The sequence below is a fragment of the Homo sapiens genome, chromosome 5, assembly GCF_000001405.40.
Source record: "Homo sapiens chromosome 5, GRCh38.p14 Primary Assembly".
NCBI lineage: Eukaryota > Metazoa > Chordata > Mammalia > Primates > Hominidae > Homo > Homo sapiens.
In genome coordinates this window covers 17,228,690-17,244,219 of record NC_000005.10, presented here as the reverse complement: position 1 = coordinate 17,244,219, position 15,530 = coordinate 17,228,690, and the positions used below count along the sequence as shown (strand labels likewise).

The window sequence follows — 15,530 nt, the reverse complement described above, 5'->3', positions numbered from 1 at the left end:
TTACTTGTCTGAAAAAGCACACATGGTGTTAAAGCCACCTTTCACTTAATTATTGTGTCCTCCAGATTCCGAGAATGTACAATACGTATAATCTTATCAAGAAGGTATACATTGGAAATATGTTCATGTATAGAATCTCACCAAATTAAAAGTTATCTTCCAATATTTAAGAACCTAAAATATCAATTAGAAAACTTCAACCCTAGCTGATAGTTTACAATGTAAGGATATATTTGCAAAAAAATTATCTTTATCCAATTTCACATAGTACCCGTGACTTATTGCACTTGAAAAGTCACACACGATGAACATTCTGGCAAGAGCTGCAGTGCTTTGCAGGGACACAGCAGTGTTTTGTTTTCTGCTGGCAGTGGACAAGCATTCGGTGAGAACCAAGGTGCAGGGTGTTAGGGAGACAGACCCAGGGTCTGGAGGCATAGAGCTTCCATGACAGACTAGGAAGGGAAATGGTGAGAGTCACACATAAATAAGACAAGTTCACCAACAACAAGATCATATGGTGAGACACAATCCAAAAACAAGTAAGACAAATTCACAAATAAAATAATGACCATGTGTTGTGAATGCTATAAAGGAAACAGAGATCTAGATTAGAACAGGCAGGAGAATGGCAGGAACAGCCAACCCTTATGGAGACATTACTCTGTGCCTGGCCAATCCTCACCTTTTGCTAATTCATAGCAAGAGGCAGACATCAATAGTGTCAAGTTAGACACCGGAAACTGAAGTTAAGAAGGTTGGAGGGAGCCGGGCGTGGTGGCTCATGCCTGTAACCCCAGCACTTTGGGAGGCCAAGGCAGGCAAATCATCTGAGGTCAGGACTTCGAGACTAGCCTGGCCAACGTGGCGAAACCCTGTCTCTACTAAAAATACAAAAATCAGCTGGACGTGGTGGTACGCACCACGCCCATAGTCCCAGCTACTCGGGGGGTTAAGGCACAAGAATTGCTTGAACCCAGAAAGTGGAGGTTGCAGTGAGTCAAGATCGCGGCCCTGCACTCCAGCCTGGGCGACAGAATGAGACTCCCTCTTAAAAAAAAAAAAAAGCAAGAATTTAAGTCTCAGTGGCTTTATCATGATGCCCTTTTGTCACCTAGCATGTTAGCATGTCAACTTGCTGGGGGCAACAGACTACAGGTGTTCCAGAATGTTCCATTTCCCTTTACACACATGATCTGGTTTCATACCCAGATTTTCAGAAAGGCACAGACTTACAGGGACGACAACACTTAAAAAACATTTTACAAGCACATGTTCACTTATTTCAAGACATGTCCTCCCTGCCCCCAAACACAAAGAAATCCTTTTAGAAGGAAAAAAAAATGCTTACGATTACCTTTTTTTTTTTTTAAACTGAGTTGACTTTTTTTTTCCTAGACTTACTTCGACTCCTCAAGGACATTAGCACGCAGAGCAAGGATGTACCGTTACAAATAACATCATTTTCTGTTGTTTAAAGTTATAACACAAAGCATTACAGATACTTTAAACAGATTATTAATAAGCACAATGATGTAACAAATGCACTTACGATCATTTAATCCCCCTTAAATTAAAATAAGAAGCCCTGACTTGAGCATTTATAAAGAGATAAAATTATGCTACTCTAATTGGAGATACGTGTCATTATAAATTTGTCCAAACTCACAGAAGGTACAACACCAAGAGGGAACCCTAATGTAAACAAAGGACTTTGGGTGACAATGATGTGTCAATGCAAGTTTATCAATTGTGACAGACGTATTCTGCTGGGGGATGTTGATAATGAGGGAAACTATGCATGGGGTGGGGGGCGGCGCAAGACTTATATGGGAAACCTCCGTACCTTCCACTCAATTTCGTGTGAACATGAAACTGATCTAACAAATAAAGTCGAACAAAAAAGAGAAATAAAACCACAGGACCATTCTCACCCGCACTCATCACAGGTATATATATACAAAAACTTCTACTATTTCTTGCATTTTAATAACAACTGAGTCATTGATCAAATTTAAATGAAAACAGGAGTTACACATTCACTATGGTTGAGAGTAATTGCTAAAACTATTAATGGTGCATCAAAGAACGCCTTCCTAGTCGAAGGAGGGGAATGAAAGGAGAGCATGATTTCACCCCTTCCTCAGCCAATCAAGAAAGCATACAGAATAGACGTGAATGAGAGAGGTGTTTTCTTTTAGAGATATCCATTCACCCTTAAAATGTGGGACACTCGCATTTTGTAGAGACACAGTGCAGTTCAGTATCTCGGTTGAGAGTTCCTTCCTTCCCCCATTTAATTAAATGCTGAAGTTTGTGTTTCAGAAAGCCCTGAGTTTGCGTGCCAGCTCCACGTACTTGTTTTGCAGCCTTGTCCTTAAATCCTGCAGCTCTTGGTTGGAGCTTCTGTTTTGTTCCTGTGAACTGTCCCCACAGGTCTGACTCCTGCAGAGCACAGTTGAAGGGACAGGAGAGAACATCGAGGGACACCCATGGTGGCACACACTGGCTCACTCCAGTTCCTGCACAGATCTACGAAAGCTTCAGGGCCTCGTTCACTCCCAGCAAATGCAGCAAATATACAGCACTTAAAGAAGTCACAGGAACATTACTCAAACTGGAAGCAAAACAATAATTTTCTTGTTGACTGATATGCTTCCAGCAAATGAGAGACATGCAACATGAACTAAGATGTTCTGGGTTACACTGGCTACGTAACCTATTATTAATTTCTCTGTGCCACAGTTTCTTCATTTGTACAATGGGATAATAATAGAATCCACCCCACCTAGCTGCTGTATTTTAAAATGTCAATCTTTGGGCCAGGCGCAGTGGTTCACTCCTGTAATCACAACACTTTGGGAAGCTGAGGCAGGCAGATCACTTGAGGCCTGGAGTTCAAGACCATCCTGGCCAACATGGCGAAACCCCATCTCTACTAAAAACACAAAAATTAGCCGGGACTGGTGGTACATGTCTATAATCCCAGCTACTCAGGAGGCTGAGGCACAAGAATCGCTTGAATCTGAGAGGTGGGAGTTGCAGTGAGGCGAGATCACATCACTGCACTCCAGCCTGGGCAACAGAGCAAAACTCGGCCTCAAGAAAAAAAAAAAAAAAAGGAAAATGTCAATCTGTGTAAAGCTTAGAATGTGGCCTGCCTGGCACATGCTAAGCACTAGGCAAGCCTGTGCTCACCAGACTACAAGGTGTTATTTTGTAATGTTATAATTAAAAGAAACTATTAAATATTTTTAAATGCCATTGCAAAAATAAATCTTTGCCTAGTTTTGCCTTCTCTGTAACGATGGTTTTATGTTTCCAACTTAAGATCAAAATCACAAGAGTTTTATCTTTTTGTTTAGTAGGTACCCTAACAAAATACCTTAGATTGGGTAATTTATAAAGAATCAATACTTACTTCTCACAGTTCTGTAGGTTGGGAAGTCCAAGATCAAAGACAAAAGGGGACTAGGGCACTCCCTTCAACTTTTTTATTTTCCAAAATATATGGAATGCTTCACAAATTTGCACTGTCATTCTTGCATAGCAGCCATGTTCATCTCTATATGGTTCCAATTTTAGTATATGTGCTGATGAAGTGGGCACATTATTTCTCTTTTTTTAAAGAGTCAGAACCTCACTCTGTTTTTTATTTTATTATTTTATTTTACTTTATTTTATTGAGAGGAGTCTCACTCTGTCACCCAGGCTGAAGTGCAATGGCGCAATCTCAGCTCACTTCAACCTCTGCCTCCCAGATTCAAGTGATTCTCCTGCCTCAGCCTCCTGAGGAGCTGCAATCACAGGTGCCCGCCACCACGCCCAGCTAATTTTTGTATTTTTCAGTAGAGACAGGATTTCACCATGTTGGCCAGGCTGGTTTCAAACTTCTGACCTCAGGTGATCTGCCTACATCGGCCTACCAAAGTGCTGGGATTACAGGCGTGAGCCACCATGCCCGGCCAGAGCCTCACTCTGTTGCCCAGGATGGAGTGCAGTGGCATGATCACGGCTCACCCCAGCTTCAAACTCCTGGGCTCCAACCTGTTATTTATTTATTTATTTATTTATTTATTTATTTATCTTTATTTTTATTTTTTTCCCAACATGTTCTATAAGAGCACTAATCCCATTAGTGAAGGTGGAATAATCATGACCTCGACATTTCCCAAAAGGCCCCAGCTCTTACTTAATACCATCACACTGGGCATTAGGTTCCAACGTAGGAATTTTGGTGGAACACATATATTCAAACCATAGCATAGGGTCACTTTAAAATTACATCTCTATAAACAGTTCTGACTACAAAACTAGACAAATGAAAAGAAGCAACACCTCCATGCTACCAGGATAAAATTTCCAAAGACCTCATTACAACGGTTACCAGCAAAGAGGATTTTGAATTAGTACAAATTCACAGATTTTGGGGGTAATCTGGACTAAAAGAGTTCTACTTCACTAATTTAAGCCTGTGTTTTCAAATGAAGGGCAGTATCACATGCAAATACAACACATATATCCAAATTCCTAACTGGGTCCTAACTAGGATCAGCTTTACTTTGCAAGGCTCTAGAACAAAGATAACCAAAGTTGTATTACAAGATTGACAGCCTAGGGTATTTAAACACATCCTGACATTGACACCAAGACCCCAGGGTGAGTGTGGGGTCAACGGTTATAACCAAAAATATGGCCTTCTGTTCCATGTACTAACACACTGATCTGTTTTATTTAGATACTGAGTTTAGTAACCTCAAGAATTATTTACCGTAGTGAATAGGGAGAATTTCCACATTTGCCAAGGCTTTCTTTACGAAAGAGCTGGGCCGGGTGCAGTGGCTCACACCTGTAATCCCCGCACTTTGGGAGGCTGAGGCGGGCGGATCACAAGGTCAGGAGATCGAGACCATCCTGGCTAACATGGTGAAACCCCGTCTCTACTGAAAATACAAAAAATTAGCCAGATATGGTGGCGGGCACCTGTAGTCCCAGCTACTCAGGAGGCTGAGGCAGGAGAATCACTTGAACCCGGGAGGCAGAGGTTGCAGTGAGCTGAGATCATGCCACTGCACTCCAGCCTGGGTGACAGAGCGAGACTCCATCTCAAAAAAGAAAAAAAAAACAGCTGAAGACAGGATGTAAGATTTAGTCAAGTGTTGATTGATATCAAGTAAGGAAGGGAATTGTGTGGTTTTATTCCCCAGCTATTGGATGAACTAAACTGAGCTGACTTCTTACAGGGCTAACATGAGCAAGCACTGAACCAACTGTCCTTTCCTACCCGTTGATCAGACAGCTGGGAAGTCCTCTTGAAGGGAAAGATATTAAAATTTACTGAAGATAACCAAAGTTGAACGGAAAACAGATGATTAATAACTGACACTCAAAAAGAACATTCCACACATTCTTTGAAAACGCATGGAGTCATATCAATATTTAAATACAGTTCACTATGAGTCATGTTTAAATAGTCATATAATTGATGCCATACATCAGATATTTATCAGAAAGCATGAACCATTCGTGGTGCTGGAAAAGAAGATGACAAACTAGGGAAGAGATGGCAGGAGATGAAGGGGAAAAGTAGGTCAGGTTCAGATTTGGAATGAATGCGGTGATGCCTCAGTACATTCAGATGAGACTATCTGGGGATCAGGCGAGCATTTTTATCCCAGCTTCCATGGTTTCCACAGAGCACTTGCATCAAATGCTAGACACACAATACTAAAGGTTTCTCCTCACTGTTCTGAAGCTTGACGTTAGTCTCCATTAACACTTAACTACAGGTTTCATCAAATAGACGTCAAATTATTTCCAAGATAAACATCAGTAGGTGTTAGTTGAAAGGGAGGGGAGGGAGACTCAGCTTCTTCTGTTTCTTTTAAGTTTTATTTTGGTTTCGATAAAAAAAAAACTCAGATAGCCAGCTACGTAGAATGAATTGACTGAACAGTGACCACTTTTCCTGCATAAGACAGCTGAGATGAGGAAGACAACCAAATGAATCTGGAAGATTTCAAAGAAAATGTCCAGTGCTGTACTGAAAAAAAGAGGGTAGTTTAAATAGAAAAAATATATTAATAGAAAGGCACCGAGACAAACAAGTCACAAACCAAATAAAGTGTCAATAGGAGTGCCAATCAAACTGTGTATATCCATCCAAAAGAGAGAAGGCCACTGAGAACAAGAATCCCCCAAATAAGCATTTATGTAATTAAACAGCCTCTTAACATACGTTGTGTTTCATACATGCTTGGCGAACACTGAGAACTACAGGTAATCTTACTTTAGAAAGCAATGTCAGGGGGCCGGACACAGTGGCTCATGCCTGTAATCCCAGCACTTTGGGAGGCCGACGTGGGTGGATCACTTGAGGTGAGGAATTCAAGACAAGCCTGGCCAACATGGTGAAACACTGTCTCTACTAAAAATTCAAAAATTAGCCAGGCATGGTGGTGCATGCCTGTAGTCCCAGCTACTCGGGAGGTGGAGGCAGGAGATTCACTTGAACCCAAGAGGTGGAGGTTACAGTGAGCCACTGCACTACAGCCTGAGTGGCAGAGCGAGACTCCATCACGGAAAAAAAAAAAAAAAAGCAATGTCAGGGGACACTCACCTAGCAAGAACCAGATTATAGAACCTGTTTAAGCATCTTATTTCCAGAGACCTGTAATGTGTGCAAGCTCAACTATAGATTTAGGCAATTTTCTTTCTTCAAAATGAGCCATACCGAAGTCACTAATGTTAAGAACAGGTTCTCAGTCTGTGCTTTAATCCAGAAAAGCATTCTGGGTGAGCTCAGTGAGAGTTCTTTGGGTCCTTCATTAGATAGCCTTATCACCTTTCTTTCTTTTTTTTGTTTTGTTTTGTTTTGAGACGGAGTCTCGCTGTGTCGCCCAGGCTGGAGTGCAGTGGTGCGATCTCGGCTCACTGCAAGCTCCGCCTCCCGGGTTCACGCCATTCTCCTGCCTCAGCCTCCCAAGTAGCTGGGACTACAGGCGCCCACCACCACGCCCAGCTAATTTTTTGTATTTTTAGTAGAGACAGGTTTTCACGTGTTAGCCAGGATGGTCTGGATCTCCTAACCTCGTGATCCGCCCACCTCGACCTCCCAAAGTGCTGCAATTACAGGCGTGAGCCACCATGCCCAGCCACCTTATCACCTTTCTTTACAATACCTCCATCAAGAATTCTTGGTTGTTTACTACCCGGTGGGCTGGTAGATTTCATTAGCTTTCAAAGTATACAGAAAAATCTCAGCTTTTGAAAATTCCAGAGGAATGACACAGTAGCGCAAGCAGCTTTTTAAATATACAGAATTTTGTTTTATTTACATCGACTGCCTATTAAGAATTTTTTTCTGAAGATTAGAAGATACCAAGAAAAGTACTAAAAACATTTTTTTCCCTTAAGATATGGGTCTAGTTAAGAGTGCATTGCTCACCATATTTGAACCACTCAGCTTTCAGATATCAGGGTCTTCATATCTTTAATTCCTATTATTAAAATATTTCTGGGTTTTTATTTCCAACAATAACATGAAAAATAAACTCTTAGGACCTGCTCTCAGGATATATTCAGTAGCCATCTAACTACACAGGAGAGGATATGAACAAACAGTGAACATTTTATCAATCAGGAAACTAGCTCTCGGCCGAGCGCGGTGGCTCACGCCTGTAATCCCAGCACTTTGGGAGGCAGAGGCAGGCGGATCACCTAAGGTCAGGAGTTTGAGACCAGCCTGACCAACAAGGCGAAACCCCGTCTCTACTAAAAATACAAAAAATTAGCCAGGCATGGTGGCAGGTGCCTGTAATCCCAGCTACTCCAGAGGCTGAGGCAGGAGAATTGCTTGAACCCGGGAGGCAGAGGCCACAGTGAGCCGAGATCACGCCATTACACTCCAGCCTGGGCAACAAGAGTGAAACTCCATCCCAAAAAAAAGAAAAGAAACTCGCTCTCTGGATAACCTGCCCAAGATCCCTACAAATGTAAATACTGGTTTAAATACGTGTAATAAGAAATCATTTTTGCTTTTCTCCCCCAAGGTAGAATAGTCTTAAAGACTAAACGCAAGGGTGGGGGTGTCCAATCTTTTGGCTTCCCTGGGCCACACTGGAAGAATTGTCTTGGGCCACACATAAAATACGCTAACAATAGCTAATGAGCTAAAAAAGAAAAAAAAAAGTCTCATGTTTTAAGAAAGTTTGCAAACTGGTGTTGGGCCACATTCAAAGCAGTCCTGGGCAGAGAACTGGACAAGCTTGGACTAAAGCAGTGATTCATAAAGAGCAATTACTCTGGGCCAAGTAGTGTCTGAAGGTCTAGGAAAACAAAAATCAGGCAGAGTTCCTACATCCAAGGAATCTCCCTGTGGGGTCATGGGAAACAATCATCAATTTCAGATGGTGGTTAGTATAAATCAAGCTGGAGGATGAAGGCTGGAGGAATGATAAAATACTAGTTACCAATCCTGTCTTTCATTTGTTGACAGATTTCATTTTAAAAAACATCATGGTCAAGAGTCCCAGCTACCTTGGTAAGCTATTTGCAACTCAGGAGTCAAGAGAAAGGAGCACTTTTGAGCAAAAGTAACGTCGACATCTGAATAGGGATGTAAGGAAATGTAATTCATATGAAAAAACATAAAGAGCAGGCCAGGCGTGGTGGCTCACGCCTGTAATCCTAGCACTTTGGGAGGCCGAGGTGGGCTGATCATGAGGTCATGAGATCGAGACCATCCTGGCTAACACGGTGAAACCCCGTCTCTACTAAAAATACAAAAAAAATTAGCCCGGCCTGGTGGCGGGCACCTGTAATCCCAGCTACTCGGGAGGCTGAGGCAGGAGAATGGCGTGAACCTGGGAGATGAAGCTTTCAGTGAGCCAAGATCGCACCACTGCACTCCAGCCTGGGTGACAGAGTGAGACTCAGTCTCAAAAAAAAAAAAAAGAAAAACATAAATAGCAGACGGGAGCAACAGCAATTCTTCCTGTTTCTCAAGCTGAGTGGCCCATCTTAATGCAGTTAGCCTGTCAGGTGAGAGCCCCAGCAGAAGACACTTCCCCAAGGAGTCTGACAGTAACTACAAACACTGTGTTCAAGAGCTAAAGCATATTCTTACTGTGTTTTAAGAACTAGCTACTCTTGGAAATCTTTTCCTTCAGTTTCTAATCCCCAAATGCCTGCTTTTTAATGGAAATTTAAGATGTGTAAATCTCTTTTCTATCTAGTGATTAAGACCTTTAAACTAAATGTAATCGATGCTGAATTCTTCCATATTCTCTACAGTGATATTCACATAAAACTCTTTAAATAATAGCCAATTGAATATCTCACTGGAATATCTCACATGGCTTAGTCAGGCAAAAGAGGTGGATCTAGGGACAGATTGAAGAAAAAGAATATAATTGATCGGAGTAGTAAACTTAATGACTATCTGCTGTTTATATCTCTACCCCATGTATCTACGGACCAACATTTGCTTCGCTGTAATTACTGATTTCCTTGTTTGCCTTCACCCACTGTAAGCTACTTAAAGGAGATGCGTCTCCCAACTCCATCAATAAACAAACATCAATTCTGCAATATTTTAGTGTGGTTTGTATGTTCCCACGTCACATTCACATGGTAGAAAAACCTCATGTCAGCTGTTCATTTGTATACAAAAAAACAAGTTTGCAACATATTCTTGGCATTTTGAAATCACTTGAACCACTTTTAGGAAGTTTTATCTGAGAACTACATGAACAAATGCCACTGATGTTTCATTTAAAGAACAAATTCATCACAAAAGCAATTATTTGTACCTTTTAACTATATAATTTTTTTTTTTACTTACGGCTTCAAATGTGTAAGTGTATATCTTGCTCATCCAATCCAATAACATATTTATAGAGCAGGAATAGAATAATCTTCATACAGTTGAAGTATGATGTGTGCCTACAATAGCAGAAGACTGAGATACACACAGACATTTCCTGAAGTCGAGAAATGGTAGACTCTAAACATCTACCAATCACTCCTTGGGCTTGTTTGTATTTTCCAGTATTGTTTTTTGTTTGTTTTGTTTGTTTGTTTGTTTTTGAGACTGAGTCTCACTCTGTCGTGCAGGCTGGAGTGCAGTGGCGCGATCTCAACTCACTACAACCTCCACCTCCTGGGTTGAAGCAATTCTACTGCCTCAGCCTCCCCAGTAGCTGAGACAACAGGCGTGTGCCACCACGCCCAGCTAATTTTTTTGTATTTTTAGTAGAGATGGGGTTTCACTATGTTAGCCAGGCTGGTATAGAACTCCTGAACTCAGGCAATCTGTCCGCCTCGGCCTCCCAAAGTGCTGGCATTACAGGCGTGAGCCACTGCGCCCGGCCTGTATTTTCCAGTTTTGAAACCAAAATGACACCATCACCATCACTAGCAAATCATATCAGAATGTTGAAAAAAAAAAAACAAAGAAAAGAAAATATCATCTACTTGGAAACACACATCAAAAGGCGTATCAGTCACCTAATTACTCATCTGTGTCATAAATTGCTCCTCAACCATCGATACCATGTCATTCCAGCTAAGTACACAACCCACAAGATGAGCCAAGGCTTCCAAACAAAACATACAGTAGGTCTGTGAGAAACCAGGAGGCAGTATGGTGCACTAGAGACTCGAAACATTAAGATAAAAAATTAATTGCAAACTGCCCTTCCCATTCTACTACCTGATTTAAATAACACTGACATGGCCTTCTGGACTAGATGACCCACAGCCAGCTCCTTCAGATCTTACCCAGGGAGTATCAGCTGTATGTTAGGGGAGGAACACAAAGAAGGGGAAGGAGATATAGGAGTTTCAGCTGAAGAGGATGCCACTGGCCAATTCATGAGCTGAATTCATTTAAAATGAGACAATCTTCAGACCAAGTATTGATTTAATAAAGTGCCAAGTGTTTATGGCATAGATTATAGAGATGGTATGAGAATATCTTATATTTCAACCCAGCTCACAGGTATAGACAATAAAGACGCCTACCATCACCTCAACTACAACTATAGTTTTAATATGCAAACCAGAAGCCTATGAAAATAAAAATTTTGCAAATAAAGGATCAACATCCAGAAATGTTTTGGAATGAGTAAATTGTATTGCTAGAACTAGACATGCTTACTGGAATCTTGCATTATTATTTAACTACAGATTACTTTAGAAATCAATTTCATACCATTGTGAAAAGCTACAAACTTTTTTATTTAATAAGAATTCCATCAATAAGAATCAGCAAAAGAAAACTAGACATTGATCTGATGAGAGATCTCAAGATGGACACAAAAATATTTCTAATAATCCTAGTTAAAACTAAGTCCGATGGCTGTCTCATGTCTCAGAAATGAGACAGCAGAAGGTGAATGTTGACCATCTAAGAGGTATGTGACATGGAAGAGGAGGGGGAGTAAATCACAAATGATGTCTTAGTTGTGCCCCACCTCCTCCTCCAAAAAAAAAAGAAAAAGAAAAATCCACGGTGATGTTTGCCAAAGGTTCGTTACAAGCTGGTTCCTGGATGTGAAAGTAAAGGACAGCGTTCTGAAATGTGCCTTATTTGCACAGCATGATGTCACATGACCATGAAACATGCCCTTCCACGTATCCAGCCCTTTACTGGACCACAGGTTCGGTTAGGTGCTAGAAACTGACATCCAAAGATGAACAAAGCAAGGTCCTAACCTCGTAGAACTCACGATGCAGAGTAAGTAGTCACAGCGCAGAATTAGAGCTAAATTCGTTTTTACTTCATTAGGTTTATAATTGACTAATGTGTAAAGATTTCAAGCCACCTGCTTTTCTAGGGACCTGATGTTCGCAGCTTCACAAAGGCTGTTACTAAAATGCATTCAGTTAAGTTGTTCAATAATGATTGATCCAAAGCAGACCAAAAGCATTCAATAACCTGGAAGGACAGACGAGGAGTGTAACCACAATCATCCTCAGCTTTCACTCATCGTGTTGTGTTTCTGAAAGGTTCCCACAATGTAATACTATTTGTCTCCCTCAAATAATACACAGCTTCATTTTTCATTTCGGACTCTACCTTGGGAGGACACTCAGATGCATGAGCCATCAGTACTCATTACTTGTAATGTCTCAGGGCTTTAGAACAACTACTGCTAAGGTTATTGCCTGGAAACAGAATAATTACTGTAATTGGAGTTCATCAGCTATTCATCTTCATAGTAAGCACAACTGATGAGGTGAAATTTTGGCCCATTTATGGAAGTCATCTCAGCTGCCAAAGGCGATGTTCAGAAGACACGTGCTCTCCATGAACATAATGTACTGTAGACAACCTTCAACACTGAACAGACATGGGGTGCTTGGTATGGATCAGAAATTGTTATAGGGCACTGTTATGGGTCCACAAAACAGACACATCCCTGCCTCCTGGATGTTTTAATCTAGAGGAGCAGAGACGTTACATAATCTCATCAATTCTGGCAAATGCAGGGACAAAAATGCCCAGTGCCAGGAGGTGTGGGAACATCTTTGCAAGAGTGACATTTAAGCTGAGATCTGAACTAGGAGTAACTTCAACAGTGGGGAAAAGAATATTCCAGGCAGAAAAAGCAGTAGGCATGAGCTTGGAGCCCTGGGAGACCTGGGAGCCTGTTGGTATGGCTGAAGAGGGTGGGTGAGAGAGTGTGTAGGAACGGAGGTAAGAGACGAAAATAGAAGGTGAACATGCTGAGAGCCGGTGTTTTATTCCAGGTTTAATGGAGAGTTAGGCCTAAAATCTTAAGCAGAGGAATGTCATGCTTGGATTTAGGAGAGTATTAGGGCAGTGATCCAGGAGAGAATAGAAGCTTCCACTAGATTAATGGCTTCAAGTAGAGGGAAATGGACATATGTGAGTTTCACTACCCAGGAAGGAGGCCATATGGGGAATTCCAGGAGACAAGCCTAGTTTTCTGGCATGATTGGAAGAAGGTGCTATCTACCAGGAAAGTGAGTGCTAAAGGTCCTCACTGACATTGCATTGAAAATAGACACTGCATAAATTTTAAGAGTTAAAATTTTTAAATTCTACAATAACTTACATCCTATGTTTTATGTAGAAAACAATTCAGTGAAAGTTGTTATAAAAGACATTAAACAGCATCGTTTCAATTATTTTTAAGACCAGTGGTTTGTTTATCTAGTGTAGTAAAATTAAATTGTTAATTCTCAATTTCACTGGGGATTCATGAGGCAATATTTGTATTGCCAGAGTTAACGTAATGTGACCTTAAATTTGAGCCAGGAAAGCAATAACTGAATTACTTGACAGGGTACGCCTAAAAGTCGTAAACTGTTTTAAAAAGACCCTCTCGGGCTGGGCGCAGTGGCCTGTAATCCCAGCACTTTGGGAGGCCAAGGCGGGTGGATCATTTGAGGTCAGGAGTTGGAGACCAGCCTGGCCAACATGACGAAACCCCATCTCCCCTAAAACAAAAGACAAAAATTAGCCAGGCATGGTGGCACACACCTGTAATCCCACCTACTTGGGAGGCTGAGGCAGGAGAATCGCTTGAACTCGGGAGGCGGAGGTTGCAGTGAGATGAGATCACACCACTGCAGCCTGCATCACAGAGCGAGCCCCTGTCTCAAAAAATAAAATAAAATGAAATAATAATAAAAAGGACCCTCTCAAAAGGGTTAAGTGTAGACTTACCCACACCCACACTTGTTGAGAATGCCCCTCAAAAGAATCCCTGTAAGTATCACTACTTGTTTTATTGCTTGGAAAGGCCCCAAAATTCATTAGCCTTGGTTTCTATAGTCATGGAGGATTTCCATGATTCCCGACACACACTTCCCTTTCCTCGGTGTCCCACTGATTCATAAACTTTCTGTCAAAACCCCCACCACTCTTCCTGCACTTGCTTCTATTCAAGCCCCTGCCTTCTGTCTTCAACCCCAAGTCTCTATCCAGTAAAATCTGTTCCACCGTTAAGAGTCTGTCTAATGAATCCCTAAAAGAAAGCACAGATGCTAGAATAGGATTTTAAAGTGGCCTAGGCATCTGGTCAACTCTTCTGTCTAGAACAAGAAGGGCTCTCTACCATTGCCACTCTGGGTAGGAGATTTTAAAATGAGCTTCCCCAGGATCATTCCATTCTGATTTAGAAAACTCAAGTCTGGGCCAGGTGCGGTAGCTCATGCCTGTAATCCCAGCACTTTGGAGTTCAAGACCAGCCTGGCCAAGATGGTGAAACCCTATCTCTACTAAAAATACAAAAAAATTAGCTGGGCGTGGTGGCACACGCCTATAATCCCAGCTACTTGGGAGGCTGAGGCAGAGAACTGCTTGAACCCGGGAGGCAGAGGTTGCAGTGAGCCAAGATAGTGCCACTGCACTCCAGCCTGGGTGACAGAGCAAGACTCCATCAAAAAAAAAAAAAAAAAAACCCAATCCTACCAACATGTTGATCTTGGACTTCCAGCCTGCAGAACTATGAAAAAATATATTTTTGTTAAGTTATCCCATCTGTTATTTTGTTATGGCAGCCTGAGTAGACACAGGAGGAGAGCATTGGTGCCTCTCCAACTTGTGTTAATGCGGGTGCATCTTCCCAGCCTCTCCCAGACTTCCCTTCCTCTTCTCCTGCTCTGGGCTTTCGTCCCCTGAACACAAAGTGAGGAGGGAACAGAGGGGCTCAGAAACAATAGGTCATTGACTGCTGACCTAGAACAATGCAGTTTTGCTTCCTGTATTGTACTTACCAAAAATTCTGCCCACATAAGGGGAATTTGAACACTTCTTGGAGCAGAAACCAAGGGCTTTCTTTCCCCTCCCCTCAGCCAGGAGCAAGGCTGCACAATTACTATGCTCAAACGTCCCCAAGTACAGCCATTTCTTCCTTTTCGGAAGGGTTTTCAAACCTTATTTAACAAGACATGCCACTGCTCACAGGTGCCTTTTCCTCTCTCAAGCCTGGAACTGTGTAATTAGCTAGGGAAGTAGTTAAATGTGTTATCAGAATCAGATTTAAGTGGAAATGTGTCCCCAGCCAGTTAAACCTCACACTAACCACAGTGCACGTTAGTGTCCTCAAACATTTGATTCTATCTGTGGATGCTTTCTCTACCTGGTAAACTATGCAAACAACTGCTAACAGGTCAGGGCTTGCTGGTTTGCCACGCTGTGTGATATCCTAAGAGTTTTGTTTTTTTTTTAATAGGTATACATCTCTGAATTCTCACCCCCTTCCAACAGGAAGCACACTCAACTCAAAACTGGCTTGGGTTTCTTCCACTCCCCTTAGAAACAGCAGTAACATTTTTTGCAGCATTACATCATTCTGGACTTCTTTGCCCTTTTTCTGAGATTCCTGGCTAGCTCACTGAAGAAAAGACAAAGAATCCCGCTTTAGTCGTATGCTTAGCCAATGCGGATCAATACAGAAATGAGACTCACAGGTAGGAACTACGGATCTAAAGAAAGCAAGTTAAAGGAATAGTGTTTGTACGTGTGTCCCAATCTGCCAACTGGTCCCTCTATC

The 15,530-nt window shown here is 41.8% G+C and overlaps 1 protein-coding gene and 1 pseudogene across 2 annotated transcripts in view, besides 1 other annotated feature; both read right to left on the bottom strand.

Moving 5' to 3' along the window:
- BASP1 (brain abundant membrane attached signal protein 1) overlaps positions 1–15,530 on the bottom strand; it is a 60,012-nt gene that overhangs the window by 32,615 nt on the left and 11,867 nt on the right. The gene's annotated exons all lie outside the window — the stretch shown is intronic.
- Positions 3,505–3,609, bottom strand: RNU6-1003P (RNA, U6 small nuclear 1003, pseudogene; annotated as a pseudogene).
- Positions 14,940–15,019: an enhancer, noted in NCBI's record as "active region_22424". NCBI's record gives its function as "activates an Ori minimal core promoter by ATAC-STARR-seq in GM12878 lymphoblastoid cells {active_cell/tissue: GM12878}" and the evidence as "EXISTENCE:reporter gene assay evidence [ECO:0000049][PMID:35858748]".